This window comes from Homo sapiens, chromosome 7, assembly GCF_000001405.40.
Source record: "Homo sapiens chromosome 7, GRCh38.p14 Primary Assembly".
Lineage (NCBI taxonomy): Eukaryota > Metazoa > Chordata > Mammalia > Primates > Hominidae > Homo > Homo sapiens.
The window spans coordinates 1,254,411-1,278,468 of NC_000007.14; the positions used below are offsets into that span (position 1 = coordinate 1,254,411).

General features: G+C 59.8%; 6 annotated features.

Annotated features, from left to right (window-relative positions):
• Positions 1-501: an enhancer, noted in NCBI's record as "H3K4me1 hESC enhancer chr7:1294047-1294547 (GRCh37/hg19 assembly coordinates)". NCBI's record gives its function as "activates a minimal SCP1, AML or CMV promoter by ChIP-STARR-seq in naive H9 embryonic stem cells {active_cell/tissue: H9 hESC(naive)}" and the evidence as "EXISTENCE:reporter gene assay evidence [ECO:0000049][PMID:30033119]".
• Positions 6,369-6,569: a silencer, noted in NCBI's record as "peak6338 fragment used in MPRA reporter construct". NCBI's record gives its function as "represses an SCP1 promoter by STARR-seq MPRAs in K562 erythroleukemia cells {active_cell/tissue: K562}" and the evidence as "EXISTENCE:reporter gene assay evidence [ECO:0000049][PMID:32103011]".
• Positions 16,800-18,361: a meiotic recombination region, noted in NCBI's record as "meiotic double-strand break mapped by DNA meiotic recombinase 1 chromatin immunoprecipitation followed by single-stranded DNA enrichment and sequencing in the germ cells of some male individuals with PRDM9 AA, PRDM9 AB and PRDM9 AC genotypes". NCBI's record gives the evidence for it as "EXISTENCE:chromatin immunoprecipitation-seq evidence [ECO:0000229][PMID:25395542]".
• Positions 16,800-18,729: a biological region, named in NCBI's record as "MS31A repeat instability region".
• Positions 17,648-18,728: a repeat instability region, noted in NCBI's record as "repeat instability region; instability of the VNTR region has been observed". NCBI's record gives the evidence for it as "EXISTENCE:polymerase chain reaction evidence [ECO:0000082][PMID:9670029]".
• Positions 17,650-18,729: a tandem repeat.

Sequence of the window (24,058 nt, forward strand, 5' to 3'; positions counted from 1 at the left end):
CGGGAAAAAGGCGTCAGTCTGCTGGGGCAGAGATGGGGGCCACGTGCACTGAAATCTCAGCGTGGTGGGGCAGGGGTGGGCGGTGAATGCCCATGGGAAGCCTTCCTCTCCCCACTCTGTCATCCCCTCCTCCCAGCACCCAGAGCCTGGTCCTCTGGGACCCGCACGTCCCTCCTGCAGCCCGAGGAAACTGCAGAGTAAGCCCCCTGCCTGGTGTCCCCCCCACCCAGGAGCAACCGCGAGCTCCACCCTTGGAGACGCCCGAGAGTTCAAAAGTCCTTTCCTGGCCTCATGTCCCCTGGCCTGTTGCCATCTCTGAGAGGCTGATAGAGGGGGCCTGTTTTTACATCAGAGGAAGCAGAAACTCAGAGACGTGTGGACACTTGCCCGAGGACACACAGCTGGGCAGGGGCTGACGAGGGATTCGAAGGCGGGCGTGTGTAGCCCTGCAGCCAGAGGCTTCTGCAGTGTGCATCCTCCTCAGGGCGGAGGGGCTGGCCCCAAGGTGCCTGGGAGGATGTGGGAGGGCGGGTGGGGGCTGGAAGGGGCCGCAGCGGGAGGCGCCTGCCTAAGTTCCTGCTTCTCCACCCTGGTCCCTCCTCGTGGGGTCTCAGGGCAGTTCCAGAAGCTCAGGTTTTGGCTTCCTTGTCTCTAATACGGGGGTGCTGACACTGGCCTCAGGGGGGCCACCCCAGACTTCACCTCTGGGTCTGTGAATGCACAATCCTAGGATCTCCCTATCCTGGGGAAGCCCCTCCTCCCCTGCCCTGGGGCGGGGCTGGCCTGGCCTGGGGCACATTCTGGTGACCACAGCTCCAGTCGCCCTCCGGCCTGGGGCCTGCTCTGAGGGCAAGGCTGTGTGGCAGGTGCTGGGCGGAGTTTCCGCAGCCTCTCCTCCTCCAGGCGACATCCTGGTGTCTCCCGGACACTCCTTAACCCCGTGTTGGAGAACAGTGGAAGTCGGTCCTCAGTTCAGGGGTGCAGAGCCATGGGGACAGGAGGGGAGGGGGAGGCACCAGGTGAGCTTCTCCTCATTGTCCTCAGCCAAAGCCCTGGGTTTCCTGGGAGGCCTCCTGCCCTCTCCCCGGTCCCGTGAGGCCCCCAAAGCCTGGCTAAGAGTCAGGAGGAAGAGGCTGAGTGACCGGGGCTGGGGTGCCCAGCCAGTCAGCCCTGCCCCATGGCCAGGCCCGGGTATCTCTCTCCTGAGGTTGGGGTGCTGGGAGAGGAGCAGCCCAGCCCCTCCAGGGCACAGCAGGCTCCCCTTCATCTCATGCTGCATCCTCAGAGGGGGTGAGGGTCCCAGCCCCGCCGGCGGGCAGGTGTCGGTGCAGGGTGCGGCAGTCTGCAGGAAGACTGTTTTCCTCCTGCCGCTCATGTTTGACTCGAAGGGTTGGTTCCAGCCCGGCTGAGCCGGCCCAGGGCCCAGGCACCTCCCAAGCGCTCTGTCTCCCATCAAACGGCATGAATAATTTAGTCTCTAATTAAAAGTGAGGTCAAGCGATGAAAAATGGCTGGACGCATGGTGGCACGTGATGCATTACATTGCTGGCAGATCAGAGGCAGGCGGGCCAGGGGCTCTGGTTTACACACCAAACCTCCAGGGCTTCGGCTCCAGGGGCCAGCAGCTGGGTCCACCCTGAGGGAGAGTCCCCAGGTGAGCGAGAAGCTGCTGGACGGACCCCAGAGAGCCCCCGGCCGGCCCTGCCCCCACTTCACCTCCACCGCGCCCGAGGGGCTCCTCCCCAGCCTCCCAGCCTCCCGCCTTCCCCACGCACACCAGCTCATCCTGCCTAAGTCTGCGTGGTTCCTTCTGGAACACGCGTCCCCCAGGTGTCCGTGTAACGTGCTCCCGTGCTCCAGCGAGGTCTCTGCCGGATGTCACCTTGCCTGCCTGCCCCAGCTAAAATGCCACCAGCCACCTTCTGCGTCCCTGGCCCGTGAACTCCCAACTCATTTCCTCCCCGTACCTTGCCAGCACTTCTGCCTACTTGGGGTTCATTCTAGTTTATATTCGTTTACTTACTTGCTCATTCTCTGGCTCCCCAACTCCAATATAAGGGGAGGGTCTTGGCTTGGTCCCCCTGTGCGTCTGGCACAAAGGATGGTGCCCGGTACACAGTTGGAGCATAATGGAGTCTCCCTGAGCACAGAGTCCCTGTGCGGGCAGGGGCGCAGAGCAGAGGCTGAGCTGTTGGGTCCTGCTGCCTGATCCCTCCGTCTCTCCTGGTCCGTGGGAAGGTGGGATTGGGCAGAGCTCATCCTGAAAGTTCCACCTGTGCCAGGGCACTGTCGCCCCATCCAGGGACTGTCACCGAGGACAGCTTGAGGGCTGCAGCAGTGAGAGGCTGGTGCGGCTCCTGCCCCAGAACAGCAGCCCATGCACCCTACGGGTCGAGAATAACAGAAGGGCCAATGGGTTGGTGGCTGTGCCCCAGGGCACCGGGTGGGCCAGGGTGGACGGAGGGTGCTGCAGGGAAGGGGCCTGGATCCCCAAACCTTGCCCGCTCCCAGCCCACATGAGGTGGCAGATCCCCAGGAGGTGCTGCTGTGTGTCCCCTCCCCCTGCCTGCACCAGGCCCCACCTGGGACCCTGCCCTGCCTCCCCGCCAAGGGGCATGAGCCACTCACTGGGCCCTGTGCAGTGAGCCCTGTCTCATTCCTGTTTTCTAGAAGGGAAAGCCGGGGCTCAGAGAGGTTGGCCCGCTGGTCAGTAGCTGGGAGCTGATTAGGGTCAGGCCCAGCCCCTCCTGTGTGGCAATGAGGATCTGGGCAGTGCAAGGCCCCCCAGCCTTCAGGGACCCCTTCTGTAAAGTGGAGAGGCTGCAGCCTGGGAACAGAGATCACCAAGCTCCCGTCTGCTCCAAGCCCATTGCTCCCCAGGCCAGAATCTCAGCCTGGCCTCAGAGGTACCTAAAACTCTCTTCTGTGGGCTTTGAGTCCAGGGTGCTGTGGTTACCCCCTGAGGCCGCCATGGGGCAGGAGACAAGGAGGAAAACCCTGTTTGGAAGGGCAGGCTGTCAGTGCCCAGGCCGGCAGCCCACCCTACTGCAGGATAGGGGCTGAGGGAGGTGCCCAGGAGCCGGCTCGGGATTCGCACCCAGAGCTCTCGTGCAGGGCACCGCCGCCTTCCCGGCCAGCGGCTCCCAAGTTGGAACCTCTTTTGCATTTTCCAAGCGAGGAAAAGGTGGTGGGAGGAGGGCCTGGTTGGCCCCTGGGTAGCAGACTAAAGATGGATATTTTGTTTGTTACAATCAAGACCTCTGATTTCAGTTTTATGAATTTTTAAAATATTAATTATATTTTGGAAAGTGTGCGGAGGTGATGGCGCACGCCGCGGTTCTGCTTAGACGGCCCCTGTTTCGCGTTTGGTCCAGATTAGCTGCCGAGGAGGAGGTTGAGGCATTTTAATCCACCTTGTTAACTTATTAAATTTTCTTTATTTACATATGGATCCCACTTTCATTAGCATTGTAACAGGTGTTCATTAACAATTTATCATTTGGGAGGCAGAGTGAGACAACATCGGAAAGAGAGACATTGCTACAAAGTTTACTCTTAATTACAAGGAACAGCGCAGAGGGCAAAACACGACGGCTGCCCCCCACTCCACCCCCTGCCCCGCAACCCCGGGACGCCGTTCAGGCCCCAGGGACTCCCAGAAACCCACCCCGTCTGCCTGTTGTGCCTAATCTGGGGTTCTCAGGGAAGAACCCTGCAGAGGGAGCCCGGGCCTGGGAGTCGGGAGATGGGGTCTGTGCACTGAGGCGGGGTCTGTGCACTGAGGCAAGGTCTGGGCTTCTAGGATGTGGTTCTCTGATCCCAAGGCCGGGAAGGACCACCAGACTCTGAACCTGCAGCCTTGAGCTGGAATTCAACTGCAAATTACTTAACCGGTTGAAGTTTCCTTATTCATTTATTTATTAGAGACAGGATCTTGCTCTGTGGCCCAGGCTGGCGTGCAATGGCACGACCATAGCTTACTGCAGCCTTGACCTCCTGGGCTCAGGTGATCCTCCCACCTCAGCCTCCCAAAGTGCTGAGATGACAGCCCAGCCCCTCTTGAAGCTTCCTAGACCTCTTCTCTAAAACCTGTATACAGCTGGGCAGGATGGCTCATACCTGTAATCCCAGCACTTTGGGAGGCCCACATGGGAGGATCCCTTGAGCCCAGAGTTTGAGACCAACCTGGGCAACATAGCAAGACCCTGTCTCTACAAAAATTAAAAAAAACTAGACAGGTATGGTGGCTCATGCCTGTAATCCCAGCACTTTGGGAGGCCAAGGTGGGAGGATCCCTTGAGGCTGAGAGTTCAAGACCAGTCTGGACAACTTTGTGAGACTCCCATCTCTACAAAAAAACATTATTTTTTTTTGAGGTGGAGTCTCACTCTGTCACCCAGGCTGGAGTGCAGTGGCACGATCTTGGCTCACTGCAACCTCTGCCTCCTGGGCTGAAGCGATTCTCCTGCCTCAGCCTCCCAAGTAGTTGGGACTATGGGCATTCACAACTACACCTGGCATTTTTTTTTTTTTTTTTGAGACAGAGTCTTGGTCTGTCACCCAGGCTGGAGTGCAATGGCATGATCTTGGTTCACTGCAGCCTCTGCCTTCCGGGTTCAAGCTATTCTCCTACCTCAGCCTCCCGTGTAGTTGGGATTACAGGTGCCCGCCACCACACCTGGCTAATTTTTGTATTTTTAGTAGAGACGGTGTTTTGCCATGTTGGGCAGGCTGGTCTCAAACTCCTGACCTCAGATGATCTGCCCTCCTCAGCTTCCCGAAGTGCTGGGATTACAGGCGTGAGCCACCGCGCCCGGCCTAAAAATGTGTTTTATTTTTTTAATTAAAAAAAAAATTAACTGAGCATAGTGGCACACACTGTAGTCCCAGGTACTTGGGAGGCTGAAGTAGGAGGATCACTTGAGCCCAGGAGTGGGAGGCTGTAGCGAGCTGTGATTGCACCACTGCACTCCAGCCTGGGCAACAGAGTGAGACCCTGTCTCAACAAATAATAATAAAATAAATTAATTAAAAACCCTGGATGTTAACAGTGGAGGGGCTGTTTGCAGGGTTGTCTGGATGGGTATAGACGGTGCAGGGCTGAAGGGTGACATTCACCCAAAACTGGTTTGTCAAGTGCCTGCTTGACGGGGGCTGTTAGGGAGGGGCGGGAGAGGGGCTGACCCTGCTGCAATCCAGGAGCCCACGGGAGCCCACGGGGAGCCGGGCTATAGGAGGAGCTTGGAGGTTCCCTCAACAGGGCCACTGGGAGAAGGTGGTGACCTTTAAGGGGGCCTAGAGGGTCCTCCTGCCATCCGACTCCCCCGAGGGAGACCCCGAGTGTGAGCAGAGGGAGGGTGGCCAGGCCTCTGCACAGGACAGGCCTCCAGGGGCTTCTGGCTCGTGGCTGTCCCGGGCCTGGGTCAGGAGCTCCCTGCAGCGCGGGTCCTGTGTATGCAGCCAGCAGAGTCCGATGGTCACAGCCTCTTTGTCCCCTGAAAGCAGGGCCTGTGGCCTCCTCCCTCGTGGTGGTCCTGGGTGCAACGTGTGCACCGCCACCCCGCCTGCTGCCCCTGGGCCCCAGGCGCCAACATGCTTGGGGTGTGCGGGGGTGGGGGTGAGTGGAGGGCTGGAGGGGGAGATGGCATGGGCAGTGAGTCTTAGCCCCGGGGGGTAAGGATGGGCGTGGGGTGTGGAGTAAGGTCCCGGTCAGCAGGGCTGGGCTGTGGGTGCCAGCACAGGAGGAGGGGGGCACCCACTGAGGGCTTCTCACCGTCCTCCCGATGGGCCTCTCTCTCCCCCTGCCCCCAGTCCCCAAAGGAGCCCACACCCCTGCAGTCCAGGACTTGAGGCACCTACCGCCCCGTCCCCTCCACTTGTCCCTGGAGAAAGAGCCCAGATGCCCATCAGGCACCCCAGGCTCACCCATCCGGCCCAGGAAACCAAGGCCAGAGAGAGGTGAGGCGGCCACGGTCACCGGGGAGCCAGCGGCCAAGCTAGGGCTGGCACAGGGGAGCCGGTGCATCCAGCCCTGCCCTGACCACGTGTTCTGAGGCTGGATGGGGCAGGAGAAACAGGAGGTCTGCAGTGCGGCAGGTGGCGAGGACACGGCTGTGCCCAGGAGCGTGAGGAGACCCGTGACCCCTGGTCAGGTGCACGGTCCCCTGCAGACCCAGACCGGCCTCGGCGCCCACCTCCCCTCTCCCCGCGGCCGTGGACTCTCCCACTTCTCGCCTTCTGTCCTCGCTGGGAGCAGCGGCTCCTGCGGGTGCCCGGCCTGGCCTCTCCAGCTGCCTCAGATAATCGCCCTCGTAATCACCTTCCCTCACGCTGCTCCTTTAAAACATATTTCCAGGGTGTTTTTCACGGATAGGGCTTTGAATATTCATCTCAGTGCTGACAATTTTTCCTGCCTTGTTACGGAGAGCTGGTGTCGGTTTTTCATTGTATCTTTGGACAGTCGGTTTATTCGGAGCCACTTAAAGGCTCAAAAGTGATTCTCTTTTATAATTTGAGAAGTTTCATGGACCGAACATCAAAGTGATTGGCTGGGAATGTTTTCTGCTGCTCTCCGTCTCCTTCTCCTCCCTCCCTGGCGTTCTCCACCTCCGTTTTGCTAAATTATTAGCAAGACACTCTTCAGCCCCTCACCCCAGCCTTGCTGAACCTCCAGGCCTTGGGGAAGGTCAGGCCCTGCGGTGGTTTTGGCCTCGGGGGGAGGGGGTGATGCCTTTTAGTCTGGAGTTCCTGATGGACTGGGAGGATGGCAGGGGACGGACTGGGAGGATGGCAGGGGACGGACTGGGAGGATGGCAGGGGACGGACAGGGAGGATGGCAGGGGCAGGGGAGGATGGCAGGGACGGACTGGGAGGATGGCAGGGGACGGACTGGGAGGATGGCAGGGGATGGACTGGGAGGATGGCAGGGGCAGGGGAGGATGGCAGAGGACGGACTGGGAGGATGGCAGGGGACGGACTGGGAGGATGGCAGGGGACGGGTTGGGAGGATGGCAGGGGATGGTTTGGGAGGATGGCAGGGGACGGACTGGGAGGATGGCAGGGGATGGACTGGGAGGATGGCACGGGCAGGGGAGGATGGCAGGGGACGGACTGGGAGGATGGCAGGGGACGGACTGGGAGGATGGCAGGGGACGGACTGGGAGGATGGCAGGGGATGGATTGGGAGGATGGCAGGGGACGGACTGGGAGGATGGCAGGGGATGGACTGGGAGGATGGCAGGGACGGACTGGGAGGATGGCAGGGGCAGGGGGGGCTTGCAGAGCATCAGAGGGGCTCTCGGCATGGAACCTTGGACCTGCTGTGGGTCCCGCCCTGTCTCCAGCCTGCAAGGGCCATTTTCTCATCTGTAAAGTGGGTGTCTTGGCTCAGAGCAGGGCCATAAACTCACACAGTCCCAGTCATCAGGCAAGTCTCCTCGATGGGCGGTGCCAGCTGGGTTTGTCAGCAGAAGAGCGCTCCATCCATCATCCATCTATCTATCCATCCACCCACCCATCCATCCATCCGTCCGTCCATCCATCCATCCATCCATCCATCCATCCATCCATCCATCCATCCATCCAGCAGCGCTGTGGGCCCGGCCGTGTTCTAGGGGGTAGGGACGCGGCAGGGAACAAACAGGCAAAGCTCCGGCCGGGCGCGGTGGCTCACGCCTGTAATCCCAGCACTTTGGGAGGCCGGGTCGGGTGGATCACAAGGTCAGGAGATTGAGACTATCCTGGCTAACATGGTGAAACGCCATCTCTACTAAAAATACAAAAAAAAATTAGCCGGGCGTGGTGGTGGGTGCCTGTAGTCCCAGCTACTTGGGAGGCTGAGGCAGGAGAATGGTGTGAACCTGGGAGGTGGAGCTTGCAGTGAGCCGAGATCCTGCCACTGCACTCCAGCCTGGGCAAGAGAGTGAGACTCTGTCTCAAAAAAAAAAAAAAAAAAAAAAGAAACAGGCAAAGCTCTCCATCCGGGCAGGCCACTGCACACGGAAGACACTTCTCCTGGTGACAGGTTCTTAATGACGGGGCCTGGGGACCTGGAAAGCTGGAAAGTGGTTCTAACGGGCATGGCCACCCTCGGAGGCCCCTCGTCTCCTGTGGGGAAGCCCGTCCTGCCCACCATGAGCTGGGCCAAAGGCCCTGAGAGTTAGTGGAGGAGCTGAGCTGGTCCCTCTGGACTCCCAGGGCTGGCACGAGTGTGGGCCAGCCCAACCCTGCTCACCAATTCTTGCGCTGGGCAGGACAGGGCGCAGGGGAGGCCAGCAGCAGGGGCCGCGTCAGGCAGGCAGAGGCCCCAGCCCGGAGTTGCTGGAGCTTTTGTTCTGTGTGGGATTTGCAAGAGAAGCTGGAAGTCTACATCAACCTTTGGAATCTCCTGATTTGCAAATGCTGGCGACTATTTCATAGATGTTGAATACGCCATGTGGCTGTTGGCACAACATTGCGAGGTCCGAATGCCAGGGAGCTACGCATGTATAAATGGTTAAGATGGTGAGATTTATGTTATATATATTTCACCACAATAAAAAAAATACTACGTAGCAAATACCTGCTGGCCAGAGTCACCTGGAGGCTCAGTTTTCAAGCTTGGGTCTCGTCTGTGTTTTTTTTTTTTCCCACTTCACCATTAGTATGCCATCTTCTGGACATTTTAAAAAATTTTTTTCTTTTTTTTTTTTTGAGACAGGGTCTCGCTCTGTCACCCAGGCTGGAGTACAGTGGCACAATCATAGCTCACTGCAGTCCCGGCCTCCTGGGCTCAAGTGATCCTCCCTCCTCAGCCTCCCAAGTAGCTGAGACCACAGGCACACACCACCACACCCGGCTAATTTTTGTATTTGTCATACAGACAGGGTCTGTCACTATGGTGTCCAGGCTGGTTTCGAACTCCTGGGCTCAAGCGATCCTCCCACCTCGGCCTCCCAAAGCATTGGGATTACAGGCGTGAGCCACAGTGCCCATCCTGGACATCATTAACCACAGGTGTGTTTGATAAAAATGTACCCACTGCCGTTGGTCATCGAGGCTGGCCAGCCTGCTAAACCCTCAGGTGCTGACTTCCACCAAGAGAAGTGCCCAGAGCTCCGGGCAAGCGTGGGGAGGGGCCGTGACCTGTGGGCCGCGATCCTGGTCTCAGTCCCAGCTCCTCCCTGCACTCCCCGGAGCTTGCCAGGACTGCAGCCGGCCCTCGTGCCCCCGGAGTTTATTTGCACCTCACTCCTCCATAGCTGCCACCAGCACTGGCGTGATTTTATAATGTTTGCACTTTCAACTATAGCAAGATAAATGGGTGCGATTACCCCGCTCCCCGCCTGGGAACATGTGGCCTGGCATATGTGGGGCCAACCTCAGCAGAAATCCACGTGCACCTCCGCAGGCAGCGCGTCCCCCGCACACCCGCTGCCCGCCCGGCTTTCACTCCAGAATGGCGCTGCCCGTGCCTGTACAGACAGCTGGCAAAGCGTCAGATGGCATTACAATATTTTTACTTATAATCGAGAAAGCAATAAAAATACGCATTTAAGTAGAATATTGCTGTTCTAAAGGGGCTGGGGAAACCTGGGGAGGAAACCAGGTTTTGCCATAAATTCAGAGTCCAGGTTGAGCGTGGGAGGGGCCATCCCAGGCACGTGGGCTGCTGCGGCTGTGCCTGAGCCACACCTGGCGGGCAGGGTGGGGTTCTGTTTGTAGGTGGCTTTGGGGAGATGGTTTCCTCATCTGCGAAGGGGGTCTGCCTGCTCCAGTTCTTCAGGGGTTACTCCTGGGAAGTGGCCCTTTAGAGGCCAGAGACCCCTTAGAGGAGCTGGGGAGGGCTGAGAACGCTTACCCCTCAAAATGCCAACATGGCATTTGGTGACAACCAAACTCAGGGAGTTCTTAGGCCCTCCATAGGACCTCGATCGGACCCCGTCATGAACGTGGGCACTTTTGCAGGCGCCAAAGCTCTGCTCGTCTCCAAGCCCCTTACCTGGCCAGGTACCCCGTTCTGTGGATGAACGGATGGAGCTTCCTGAGACAGCAACACACCTAAAGTCCCGCAAACAGCCGGGGCCCGGCTGGGATTCCAGTCCCCAGCCCCCAGACTCCAGAACCCCAGACCTGCGCTTCTCCCGACAGGAAGGTGTCCCCGCTGAGGCTTACCCGCCTGTAACCTCCCTGGCCACCCACCCTGTGTGCACCCTGGAGGACCCCGGAGGAGCCTGCCATCCTAGTGTCCTTCCGGGGGTGACTTTGAGGAGCACCTGAGGATTTGGATTTGGACAAGCCTCCCAGCTGCCTGCAGGTCCTGCTCTTCCATGGGAGGTGTCAGGAGAGTGAAGCCGGGCCCCCATGCCCCGGCCAACACAACCAGCTCACCCTGCCTGCCTGCAGCCTTGCGCCCCTGCCCCCTGGAACTCTCCCAGCAGCCCCAAGAGAGATGGGGCTGCCATTTGCAGATGGAGAAACTGAGGCTAGGAAGGGTTAGGACGTAACTCAGTCCATTTGCACAGTCGAGGCTGGGCTGGGTACGAGGGTGACCCATGTAAGATCTGGAGAAGGAACTCCTCTGGGCAGGGACCATGGGATCCACCCCACCTGTCCCCAGACCTCAGAGCTGATCGTGCAGCAGCCCAGCCGGGCTGGGTCCAGGAGTGGGCAGAGTAGACACAGCCCCCGAGCTCCTGGGTACACAAATAAACATACTTGGTGCATACGAGCAGCTTCAGGCGCCTGGTAATGGGCGCTGCGTTAACAGTGGAGGGGGTCAGTCACAGGGAGCTGCTTCGGCCAGGGTGTGTCAGATACGGCCCCTTGGAGGAGGCGGCACCCACATACGGAGGAGGCACCATGAGGGATCTGGTGAGAAGCCCTCCCCTCAGAGAACTGTAGGTGCAGAGGGCCCGGACTCTGCCCAGCCTGGAAAAGCCCCAGTATGGAGGTGCCCAGGGCTGGGAGCAGAGGGAGGGGGGCGGGGATGTGGTCAGGGAGGGCGGCAGGGACAGACTGTGCAGGGTTGGGGGGAGATTGTGTAGAATTGGGGAACAGATTGTGTAGGATTGAGGGGACAGACTGTGATGGGTTAGGGGGAGATTGTGTAGGGTTGGGGGACAGACTGTGTTGGATTTGGGGGAGAGAATGTATAGGGATAGAGGGAGATTGTGTAGGGTTGAAGGAACAGATTGTTTATGGTTGGGGACAGATTGTGTAGGGTTGGGGGCAGATTGTGTAGGGTTTTTAGGAGGGATTGTGTAGGGTTGGAGAGACAGATTGTGTATGGTTGGGGGGACAGATTGTGTATGGTTGGGGGAGAGAATGTATAGGGTTGGAGGGAGATTGTGTAAGATTAGGGAGAGATTGTTTATGGTTGGGGACAGATTGTGTATTGTTGTTGGGAGGGATTGCGTAGGGTTGTGGGGACAGATTGTGTAGGGTTTAGGGGAGAGATTGTGTAGGATTGGGGAAGATTGTGTGGGGTTGCAGGAGAGATTGTTTATGGTTGGAAACAGATTGTGTAGTGTTGGGAGGGATTGTGTAGTGTTGGGAGGGAGATTGTGTAGTGTTGGGGGAGAGATTGTTTATGGTTGGGGACAGATTGTGTAGGGTTGGGAGAGATTGTGTAGTGTTCGGAGAGATTGTGTAGTGTTGGGGGAGATTGTGTAGGGTTGGGGGAGATTGTGTAGGGTTGGGAGAGATTGTGTAGGGTTGGGAGAGATTGTGTAGGGTTGGGGGAGATTGCGTAGGGTTGGGGGAGATTGCGTAGTGTTGGGAGAGATTGTGTAGGGTTGGGGGAGATTGTGTAGTGTTGGGGGAGATTGTGTAGGGTTGGGGGAGATTGTGTAGGGTTGGGGGAGATTGTGTAGGGTTGGGGGGACAGATTGTGTATAGTTGGGAGAGAGATTGTTTATGGTTGGGGACAGATTGTGTAGTGTTGTTGGCAGGGATTGTGTAGGGTTGGGGCCATAGATGGTATAGAGTTGGGGAACAGATTGTGTAGCATTATAGGAAGAGATGTGTAGGATTGGGAGAGAGTTGTGTAGGGTTGGTGGGATGGATTTTGTAGGGTTGTGGGGGACAGATTTTGTAGATTTGGAGGGATAGATGGTGCAGGGTTGAGGGGGACAGATTCTGTAGATTTGGAGGGATAGATGGTGCAGGGTTGAGGGGGACAGATTGTGTAGATTTGGAAGGATAGATGGTGCAGGCTTGAGGGGGACAGACTGTGTAGGGCTGGGGGACAGATTGTGTAGTATTGGGTGACAAATTGTGAAGTGTTGTGGGGGATAGATCGTGTAGCACTGGGGGATAGATTGGGTTGGGTATGGGGGAGAGGTTGTGTAGTGTTATGGGAGATAGACTGTATAGGGTTGGGGACAGACTGTGTAGGGTTGCGGGAGAGATTGTGCAGTGTTGTGGGAGACAAACTATATTGGGTTGGGGACAGACTGCAAAGGGTTGGGGATGGAGGGTGCCCCTGCCGCAGCCATTCTGGACCTGGAAGCCTCACACCTCCTCTTGGCCCATTTTCCAGGTCCTGCCTCTTCCTGGAAGCCGTTCTGTCCCCTCTCCTGCCCCCTCTCTTCCACTGGTTAACTCTTCCTGCAGAAGGGGGTCAGAGGCCACATGCCTCCTCCCTGGAGGTGACCTTCAAGCCCCTGTCCCGCTCCTTGATGTGGGGCCTTCATGTGGCTCCAGGTGGGCAGGGTCCAGGCCTTCATCCCTGGGTCCCAGCACCCCACACGGGGCCAGCACAGACCTGCGTGCGGAGGAGCGAATGGGGTAGGGCCCCATAAGGCACTGGGGTCCTGGCTGGAGGTGCAGGTGGTCAGTGGGGGCTGGCATGGACCTCACCGCTGTGCTCTGAGGTCACTACGTACCCTGAGGTCAGCAGGGCCCCTCCTGGCCCCACCCGTCACTTACAAGGGCCCCTGCTCAAGAAGTCACCTGCAGATGCCGGGGACGAGTGGAGGGCGGGGGCGCCGGTGTCCATACGAGGAGAAGTCTGCTCAGCATGGCTCTAGACAGCGGGTGTCCCCACGGGGTGTCCAGAAGCTGCTGCATGGACCATGCATCGATCCCGGTCAGCCTGGGGAGCACCAGTCAAGGGGGCCCCCCAACCCTGGCAGTCCGGGGGAGGAAGAGGAACCACTGAGGTTGGAGGCAGAGGCATCCCTTCGCCCCCAGAGCAGCCCTGGGCTGGGGGAGCTTTGGTGGGGGTGCAGGGTCCCTGTGAGGCGGCCTGGGCTTTCCCAGACCTGCAGGAGACCGAGCTGGGGGATGACAGGGACCTTTTCTGTCTGAGGTGGCCCCTGACATCCTGGAGTGGGCCTGAGACGTCCCCCGGGAGCACCAGAGTGTGCTGCACGAAAGGGGGCTCTAGGAAAGGACGGGCGTCCCACCTGCCACAGACGCACCCTCTTCACGACAGCTCGGCAGCCCAGGCCTCTCTCCCCAGCTCGTCCTGCATCTCAGGACAGAGTCTTCCTCAGGCCACCTTTGCTGCTTTCCTTTAAAAAAAAAAAATTTTTTTTGAGATGGTGTCTTGCTATTTTGCCCAGGCTGGTCTCAAACTCCTGGCTCAAGTGATCCTCTCGCCTCGGCCTCCTGAGTAGCTGGGACCACAGGCACACACCATCACGCCCAGCTAATTTTTTTTTAATTGTTGGTAGAGACAGAGTCTCACTATGTTGCCTAGGCTGGTCTCAAACTCCTGACTTAAGCGATCCTCCCGCCTCAGCTTCCCGAGTAGCTGGGGTCCCAGGTGTGAGCCAACGCGCCTGGCTTACTTGCTGCCCTCCTGGGCTCTGTTTTCTACACAGTGAAGAGAGGGTGGGTGTTGGGGGTCCCGGGGAGCCCTGTAGCAGCTGGGTCTGGGAGTGACAGTGAGGGGCTGCAGCTGAGGAGAGAGCTGTGCCAGGGTGGGCACTGGGCTCTCGTCCTCCTGGGTGAGGGGCTGGGCAGACAGGCCCCTCTCCTCCCTTCTCCTGGACAGAGCAGCACTGCCCTCTGGCCACCTACGTAAAGGCGCTGACGGGGCCAGGTGCCAGGTGCCAGGTGTCTGTGCTGACGCTGGAGTGCCTGGCTGTGTCCTGGGAGCCAAGCAGTGTCCTGGGAGCCTGGGTGAAGGCCCGCGACCCTGGCAGGAGGTCTCAGAGAAGACGGCTCGCCACAGGCCCTCAGAACACCCTCCTGGTCTACAGAGGGGACGCTGAGGCTGGGAGCGGGAATGTGGCTGGTCCCTGCTGCTCCCTCGCTCGCCCCTGTCCCCGAAGCCCCAGGACACCCAGTGGCCCTCTTTGGGCTGGACCCACCCTGGCCACCCTGGCCCTTCCGGCTGCCGGCTGGGGACGCGGGCGTGGTGCGGCAGGCCTGCCTTGATTGTGTCGATGGGAGATGATTTTCAAGGTGAAATTTCTAGTTCACTAGAGTCACTTTCGTTCAAGGCGACGCACAAAATGTCATCCCGGCCTGTTCCGCGTGCAACGCGCTGTTCTCCCATCCCATTTAAATTTTCCCCACTTCCCTCCCTGACACCTGTTTAAATCAATATCTTCCTCTCCAGGTCGCGGGGAGAATGTGCCCAGCTCTCCACACAACGCTTCTCAAATCCACTAAAATCAACACAATAATTGAAATATTTTCAAGCTGATTACACCGCAGCCCGAGGCTAGCCTGGTTGCTAAGGGTGAGCTCCGCGGTTGCTAGGGGGAGTAAATCATCTTGCATTATTTGATTTTTGTTATAGATATGAAACCGCTACTCCCGCGATTAAATGTCTCTCAGCCTAACACCTATGGGACCTGGGGAGAGGGAAGAGAAAGGCTCCAACCTTGACCCTGTCAAATAAATATCTCTAACTTTTTCTGTCCTCAGGCTTCCCAGCCAAACCTGTGTGTGGGTTTTTTTTTTTTCTTCCCTTAACCTGACTTTAAATAACAAAGCTATGGGGACGGGAGATGAAGAGAGGAAAGACTGTCTGTTCTATTAGAGGGTGCTCAGCGCGTGCACGCCCCGACACCTAGCCCAAACCCCGTGCGATGGCGAAGCTTCGCGGAGCTAATAGCCTTCTCGGCGACGGCCACCCCGGAGCCGGTCCCCTCCTGCCGCAAGTTCAGCTCAGACCAGGACGATTCCTTCCGTCCGGGCTCCTGCCCGACCGAGGGAGGGCTGCCAGGTACCTGGCTCCCCAGTGACCCCTGCCCACTCCTGACCTCTTGCTGTCTTGGCGAATTTTCTCCAGACCATGGCGTCCTGGGGTCACCACGTTCCAGGATGGTGGGACCAGAAGGGACAGCAGGGTGGAGCCCCAGAGAAGGTCAGGCCTGCCCCAGTCCAGCCCCTGGACCGGCTCACAGCGCTTTCTGCTGAGGGCAGGGGTCTGCATGGCAGACACTGGAGGTGTCCTCACGCCCCCAGTCTCCAGCTCTCTCAGAGGCAGGGTCCATCCTGAACACCCCTCATGTGGTCAGGCGCCCCCTTCCCCGGCCTCTGCCGGCCCCCACGCTCCCCAGGCCGGCCCCCTCGGAAGAGCATGGGTGTTCCCGGCCGGCCGAGGCTGCCCCAGCTGAGCTGTGAGCACTGTGGAGCAGAGCCGGCTGTTTGCGGCAGGTGGGCGGGTGAGGCTACCCTGCTGGGACCCAGCCAGCTGTTCCCATGAATGAATGTGAGTAAATTAGCAAACAGCACACAAACCTGCCACCTGAATCATTCCTGATGGCTCTAAGTGCCAGGCAGGCTGGGCGGCTCCCAGTCTGGGGCGACCTGGGCACGGTCCTGGGGGCTGCACGTGCTGGCCCCTTCCCCAGGGCTCCCCTGGTCCTGCCCCAGCGGCCCCTCATCCCTCAGCCTGTCCTCAGGGGGCCAGAGTTGACCTTCCTGTCACTGGGCCGCGTCCCTGGGTTAAGATCTTCTTCCCTCTCCCCCAACCCGCCAGGGCAGTGCCAAACTGCGGGACTCAGCCCCAAGCCCCACTACTGCCGCCATGGTGTCCCCACTCCAGGACAACCAGGGCCCTGCCTCACTGCCCTCTGAACAGCCTCATCCTGCGGGGCTAGTTCTGGTCCCTTCTTTTGCTGAAGTCCCCGCCGCCCACTCCAGTGGCATCCGGGCTGCCTGGCCTCCTCTGACGGGTACCACCCAGGTCACAGTGCCTGCTCAGGTGCTCAGCATGCTACAGTTTGCCCTCAGCACCCCTGGGAAGGCCGTCAGTGCAGGCCCTGTCACCTTTTCCCAGGTGAGGTGGAGGCTGGGTAACAGGTGACTACCCCGGTCCAGAGCTTGAGACCGGAGAGGAGCCCGTCCCCTCCTTGCTGGGGCGTCCAGGGCCACAGCAGAAAGTCCCGGGTGAGAGCGTGCTGGCTCCTGGCTTCCAGCCTCACTCGGTGGCCAGGTACCCCTTCCCCAGGTGCTGCCAGCCCCAGCCCTCCCAGGCATCCTGCAGCCCTGGCTCCTGCCAGTATTCCCCAATGGATGCATTCTTAAAGCCATCCTGTCCAGGAACCCAGGATCCCTTTTCCCCACCTCAGCATGGGCATAGCAGGAGCTGGTGGGCTGTGCACTCAGGGCAGGAGATGGACACGGAGGCCCCTGGAAGCAGGTGGACCCCCTTCCTGACAACCCTCTCGGGGCCCACAATTCATCTTCTCAGCTGTCCTTAGAGAACCAAGCACATGAGCTGCCCCCAAGTTCACACATGAGGAAACTGAGGTTCAGCCACTTGCCCAAGGCTGAGGGCAGGGCAAGTGCTTGCCCAGGAACGGCCACGCTGAGGGCAGGCTGCCATGGTGGGGGTGCCCCCAGAGCTGTCCCGGAGCTGCGAGCTTCATCAGAGCACCAGCAAAACCCAAACTCGTCGGGTAGAAAACAAACACTGGCCAGACGCGGCGCTCATGCCTGGAACCCCAGGAACTGGGGAGGCCGGGGTGGGAGGCCCGCTTGAGCCAAAGAGTTCGAGACCAGCCTGGGCAACATAGTGAGATGCCATTTCTACAAAAAATAAAGAAATTAGCTGGGTGTGGTGGCACACGCCTGTGGTCCCAGCTACTCGGGAGGTTGAGGTGGGAGGATCACTTGAGCTGGGGAGGCGGAGGCTGCAGTGAGCTGAGATCGCACCACTGCACTCCAGCCTGGGTGACAGAGTGAGACCCTGTCTCCAAAAACAGTAAAAAATGAAAACATCTATATTTCTTTCTGAGTATAAAATGCCCATTGAGAAGGATCTGGAAAAGACAGAAAAGGATAAAGAAGCAAACCTTGATCCACTCGGAACCACCTGCAGTTAGGAGCAAGCCTAGAATGTTCTGGAAGGATTGAAGCCAGCCTTGTCTGAGGCCCTGGGAAAGTGGCCTGGACATGGGGATGTGGCTGGAGGACCCGAGGAAGATGCTGAAGTCCTGTGTGAGGCCCGGTCTGGGAGCCACGGCCCCTCCCCCACTCAGCGTCCGGCCTGCTGGGGTTTCCTGCCGGGCCTCCCTCAGAGCCCACGGCTCCCCAGGTGGCTCTGGCCCGGGAGCCACAGGCACAACCTAGGCAGGGGAAGCCGCATGCACAATGTTGGCTCTTCCCTTTGCACGCTGGACGGTGGGCGTTTGCCTTGCGCCTTGGGCTCAGGAGGGGCTGGGGGGTCAGGAGTGGCCACAAAGGGGACCTGGCCTTGGCTGTCCACCTCCCACAGACACTGCCCACCTCCCACAGACACTGCCCACCTCCCACAGACACTGTCCACCTCCCACAGACACTGCCCACCTCCCACAGACACTGCCCACCTCCCACAGACACTGCCCACCTCCCACAGACACTGCCCACCTCCCACAGACACTGTCCACCTCCCACAGACACTGTCCACCTCCCACAGACACTGCCCACCTCCCACAGACACTGCCCACCTCCCACAGACACTGTCCACCTCCCACAGACACTGCCCACCTCCCACAGACACTATCCACCTCCCACAGACACTGCCCACCTCCCACAGACACTGCCCACCTCCCACAGACACTGTCCACCTCCCACAGACACTGCCCACCTCCCACAGACACTGTCCACCTCCCACAGACACTGTCCACCTCCCACAGACACTGTCCACCTCCCACAGACACTGCCCACCTCCCACAGACACTGCCCACCTCCCACAGACACTGTCCACCTCCCACAGACACTGCCCACCTCCCACAGACACTGCCCACCTCCCACAGACACTGCCCACCTCCCACAGACACTGTCCACCTCCCACAGACACTGCCCACCTCCCACAGACACTGCCCACCTCCCACAGACACTGTCCACCTCCCACAGACACTGCCCACCTCCCACAGACACTGCCCACCTCCCACAGACACTGCCCACCTCCCACAGACACTGTCCACCTCCCACAGACACTGCCCACCTCCCACAGACACTGTCCACCTCCCACAGACACTGCCCACCTCCCACAGACACTGCCCACCTCCCACAGACACTGTCCACCTCCCACAGACACTGCCCACCTCCCACAGACACTGTCCACCTCCCACAGACACTGCCCACCTCCCACAGACACTGTCCACCTCCCACAGACACTGCCCACCTCCCACAGACACTGTCCACCTCCCACAGACACTGCCCACCTCCCACAGACACTGCCCACCTCCCACAGACACTGTCCACCTCCCACAGACACTGCCTACCTCCCACAGACACTGTCCACCTCCCACAGACACTGTCTACCTCCCACAGACACTGTCCACCTCCCACAGACACTGCCGGCCGGATGGGCGGTGTGGGGATCAGGTGCAGGTGTGGGGACAGGGCGAGGGTGTGGAATGGGGTGGGGACGGGGTGCAGGTGTGGGGATCAGGTGCAGGTGTGGGGACAGGGCGAGGGTGTGGAATGGGGTGGGGACGGGGTGCAGGTGTGGGGATCAGGTGCAGGTGTGGGGACAGGGCGAGGGTGTGGAATGGGGTGGGGACGGGGTGCAGGTGTGGGGATCAGGTGCAGGTGTGGGGACAGGGCGAGGGTGTGGAATGGGGTGGGGACGGGGTGCAGGTGTGGGGATCAGGTGCAGGTGTGGGGACAGGGCGAGGGTGTGGAATGGGGTGGGGACGGGGTGCAGGTGTGGGGATCAGGTGCAGGTGTGGGGACAGGGCGAGGGTGTGGAATGGGGTGGGGACGGGGTGCAGGTGTGGGGATCAGGTGCAGGTGTGGGGACAGGGCAAGGGTGTGGAATGGGGTGGGGACGGGGTGCAGGTGTGGGGATCAGGTGCAGGTGTGGGGACAGGGCGAGGGTGTGGAATGGGGTGGGGACGGGGTGCAGGTGTGGGGATCAGGTGCAGGTGTGGGGACAGGGCGAGGGTGTGGAATGGGGTGGGGACGGGGTGCAGGTGTGGGGATCAGGTGCAGGTGTGGGGACAGGGCGAGGGTGTCGAATGGGGTGGGGACGGGGTGCAGGTGTGGGGATCAGGTGCAGGTGTGGGGACAGGGTGAGGGTGTGGAATGGGGTGGGGATGAGGTGCAGGTGTGGGGATCAGGTGCAAGTGTGGGGACAGGGCGAGGGTGTGGAATGGGGTGGGGATGAGGTGCAGGTGTGGGGATGAGGTGCAGGTGTGGGGACAGGGCGAGGGTGTGGAATGGGGTGGGGACGGGGTGCAGGTGTGGGGATCAGGTGCAGGTGTGGGGACAGGGCGAGGGTGTGGAATGGGGTGGGGACGGGGTGCAGGTGTGGGGATCAGGTGCAAGTGTGGGGACAGGGCGAGGGTGTGGAATGGGGTGGGGACGGGGTGCAGGTGCAGGATGGGGTGCGACTGTGGGATGGGGTGCGGGTATAGGGCTGGGCTTCAGGAGCTGCCCTGGACTCTGCCGCCCCAAAGTCCTCCAGCCTGGCACCCTGGAACCACGCCCCCCACCCACCTCAGTTTCCTCTTTCGTACGGGAGGAGAAGCCCCTGGGGTGCCCGCAGGCCTGAAGTGGTGGGGGTATGTGAGCCCCGCTGGAGGACAGCTAGGAGGTGCTTTGGGTGGTACACAGCAGACGCTCACTGAATGGTGCTGGCCATCCCTTCTGGGCCATCCCTGCAGTCCTGAGGTGTGGACCGGGCATCCGTTGCCCCAGCAGGGCATCTGCTCGAGGCCATGGCCCAGGCCACTACCCTGCTTGGGGGGCACCCCCATCCTTCAGGGTCCACTCCGTGCCCACCTCTGGAAACGTTGGGGACAGGTTCTGTCCCCTGCACTGCGGGCAGCGTCCCCAGCATGGCCCCGCCCACAGCCAGGCACCCTGGGCCGGGTGAGTCCCCGTCAGATGCACCCGGAAGCGCGGCAGCCCAGCCTGGGCCTTAGACGCCGCTCTGTGGTGTGTGTGGGGGGGCCTGCTCCTGACTGGCCTGTGGGGAGGGGTCCTGGTTTCAGCCCACCCGGCCATGGAGGCAGCTGCAGTTGACCGGGCCACTCTGGACGGCCTGGCGGGTGGGACTGAGTCCAGGCTCAGTGTCCTGAGGGAAGGGGCTGAAGCACCGCGTGCTTGGACCCCTGGACACAGGGAGGGCTTTTTCTGTCCGGGGCTGCATGTGTGTGTTGGAAGCAGCTGAAGGTGTTGGGACCCGGCTGGGGAGAGGCCCCAGGGCTGACCTGCATGGGTCCTGGAGCCGGGGGAACGAGGAGCTCTGGCTGGGGGCAACCAGGGAGTTGTCACCCAGGTGTGCCGGGCAGGTCGGGGTGCTGGGGTGGGTGTCTCCCCATATTGTGCCAGGGCTTGGGGCATGGCCTCTGGGCTCTGACAGCTGGGGAGGGCTTCAGGGAAACCTGCCCCTCTAGCCCCGGCAGATGCCTGCCCGTTGGCCCCGAGTCCCCGCCCGCCTCCCCCACCGTGGGGCGGCTTGGAGCCTATGGGGTTTGGCTGCAGGATCCCTTCCTTAGTAGGGGCTCCTCCCGGCAGGGGGACCCGCACCCCAACCACAGACACTGTTTACCAGAACCCCCCCTCCCCCGGACACCCCTGCTCCTGCCCCTGGACATTCTCCTCCTGGCACTTTGAGGGCTTCATCCGTCAGGGGAACCGTTCCCCACGAGCTGGGGATGGCCCCGGAGCCTGTCCTGTTTTCCCGGCGGCCACCTCCTACCCCGCCCGGCTGCGGGGACCCTCTGCGGCCATTCAGCAAAGCCATCTGCCGCCAGCGCCGCGAGTCCCCGGGCAGGAGCGTGGTGACAAGCTCGAGATATGTCAGTGCGGTTATCGGCAGAAGGCAACATCTGCCTACCCTGACATCAACAATGGTAGGCCATTTAGGCTGCGGCCCCCTCCCCGGAGCTGCAGACAACAGCTCCCTGTATTATATTTTCTCACTCAATTAGCACCACCGCCCCGCTGAAATAGAGGCCAATTTACCTATAATGACATCATTGTTAGGGAAGTGGCAGCGGGCTGGGCTGTCACCAGGTTGTGGAGACAGGTCCGTCTCTCTCCACTAACCCTGACGGGAAGGGCCGGGAGCCCGGGGTGGGAAGGGAAGGGGTGCCTCGCGGCCTATCGGCGGCCACCCCGTCACCTCCGACCACAGACATTGTTTCCGACAGTTCTCAGGAGCAGTGTGGCGGAAAATTGAGTCCAGATTCATTAGGTTTTTCAGTGTGCCGCTCAAGTCAGTTAAATTGATACATTTCCTAACGAAATTGAAGTGCTTTGTGCTGCCAGTGGAAAGCCGGGTGACCCGCCTCGGCCCGCTGAGCAGCCGAACGCGCTGACGGATCCATTAGGCCGCTCCCGGCCCCGGCCCCCTCTCCCTCCATTCCTGGCCGGCGCTGTAAATCTCCGCCAATTTCGGTCCTAATCATCATTATAAACCCTTCCTCTGCCCGCTCCCGCGCCTCACCTCGCTGGCAAAACAGCCCCTGGCATGATCATCGCACCGGCCTGCGGGGTCAGCAGCCCCACTGGCTCGCCGGGGCCTGGGCCTGGGCCTGGGGGGCCGGGACTCCAGGTGGAGGAGCACAGCGAGGGGCCCCTGGGCTGCAGGAGGGGCCGGCTCATGTGGTATCAGCCGGGCTCCAGAGAGGAATGTGCGCCCATTCGACAGATGGGGAAACTGAGGGCAGGTCTTGGTTTCCAACTGGACGTTTTTGTTTTTTAAAGGAGGTACATACAGAAAGTCCATACATGTCAAGGGCTCACTGAGATTAGTGTGCAGGCTCAAACACGCTGAGGGAGAAACCGGAGAAACCCCAGATGGAGAAACGGAACATTCCAGCCCCCTAGAAGGCCCCCTTTGCTCCCCAGTTCTGTGCCCCCAGCAGGGTGATGGCTCTTCTGATTTCATCACCAGGCGTGAGCGGGCCCCTTAGTGGAGTCACACGTCTTGTTCTCCTTGGCATCTGGAGCCTTTTGCTGCATGGATGCCTGTGAGATTCACCCGTGCTGTTGCCTGGATCTGTGGCGAGCACCTTTTCAGTGCTGCGTAGTATTCCACCCTGTGCCTTCATCGCCATGGACTCGCCTGTCCTCCTTTTGCTTCCAGGTGGGGCTCTCATGAGCGAGTCCACTGTGCATGCCTCTCATGAGTGTGGTCCAGCCATGAGCGCTCATTTCTTGATTCTTCTCTTGGCCACCCTCACCCTGTCCCCATCCATTGTTTAAAGTGCCATTGAGTGAGTTTTACAAATGTCAGGGTGAGTCCTCCCTCCCTCCCTCCCTCTTCCCTTCCTTCTCCCTCCCTCCCTCTCTCCCTCCCTTCTCCCTCCTCCCTACCTCCCTTCTCCCTCCTCCCTACCTCCCTTCTCCCTCCTCCCTACCTCCCTTCTCCCTCCTCCCTCCCTCCATCTTTCCTTCCTTCTCCCCCCTTCTCCCTCCTCCCTCCCTCCTTTCTTCCTCTTCCCTCCCTCCCTCCCTCCCTCCTTCCTTCCTTCTCCCTCCTCCCTCTCCCTCCTTCCCTCTCTTCTCCCTCCTTCCCCCTCCTTTCCTCCTCTTCCCTCCTCACTCCCTCCCTCCCCCCCCCCAGTAGGAAGGTGGCCGGGCAGTAACCCCGGGCCCACATGAAGAGGGCGTCCAACTGAGGCCAGGAGATCAACTGCATTATGGAGACTGAGTGGACTGCCGAGAATGGGCCCAGATTTCTCACTGTTGAAAAAGCTGATAGGATACAGATGGGGAAGCTGGAATGAGCTCTGCGGTGTTGTTGAATTGACACTGCTGCTGTCCTACACAGGGATGAGGAAATCGGCATAGATGCAGGAGTGTGTGCACCGTGCACACGCTGTATCATCCTACCTGGAACCCTGGAAATGCAGCACCTCAGGGGTGGTGAGCACACCTCGTGCCCAGACCTTGGCTTCTAACTGCCATTCTCTGCCAAGAGGAGCAGCGGCTCAGCTGATTTCCAGTGGGGAAAGCTGAGCCTGGAACGTCTGGTCCAGAAAGTAGAAGAGCGAAGTGAACGGAGGGCACTGGTCCCAGGTCACAAGAGCCAGCCCCAGGGCCCCATGGCCACATTCGGGACAATTTGCACATCCAGATAAATACGAGATCCTGGCCCATAGAATAAAACAGTGGCCACAAGTCCACAGTGACACACACAAAAGATCCCTAAACATGGGGATAGGAGGGAAAGGTGGGCTTTGAACAGCATTTGTCAGCCATCAGAGGGATAGCTGATTGTGGCAGGAGTCAATAGTGGATATTAAAACCGATGGGTGGGCCAGGCGCGGTGGCTCACGCCTGTCATCCCAGCACTTTGGGAGGCCCAGATGGGAGGATTGCTTGATCTCAGGAGTTCGAGAGCAGCCTGGGCAATATAGGGAGACCCCATCTCTCAAAAACAAAACAAAACAAAACAAATTAGCCAGGTGTGATGGCATGTGCCTATAGTCCCAGCTACTTGGGAGGCCGGGGCAGGACAATCACTCGAGCCGGGGAAGTCAAGGCTGCAGCGAGCTATGATTGCACCATTGCACTCCAGCCTGGGCAACAGAGTGAGACCCTGTCTCAAAAAATACAACAAAATAAAACAGAACAAACAAGTAAGACTGGGCACGGTAGCTCACGCCTGTAATCCCAGCACTTTGGGAGGCTGAGGTGGGCGGACCACCTGAGGTCAGGAGTTCGAGAC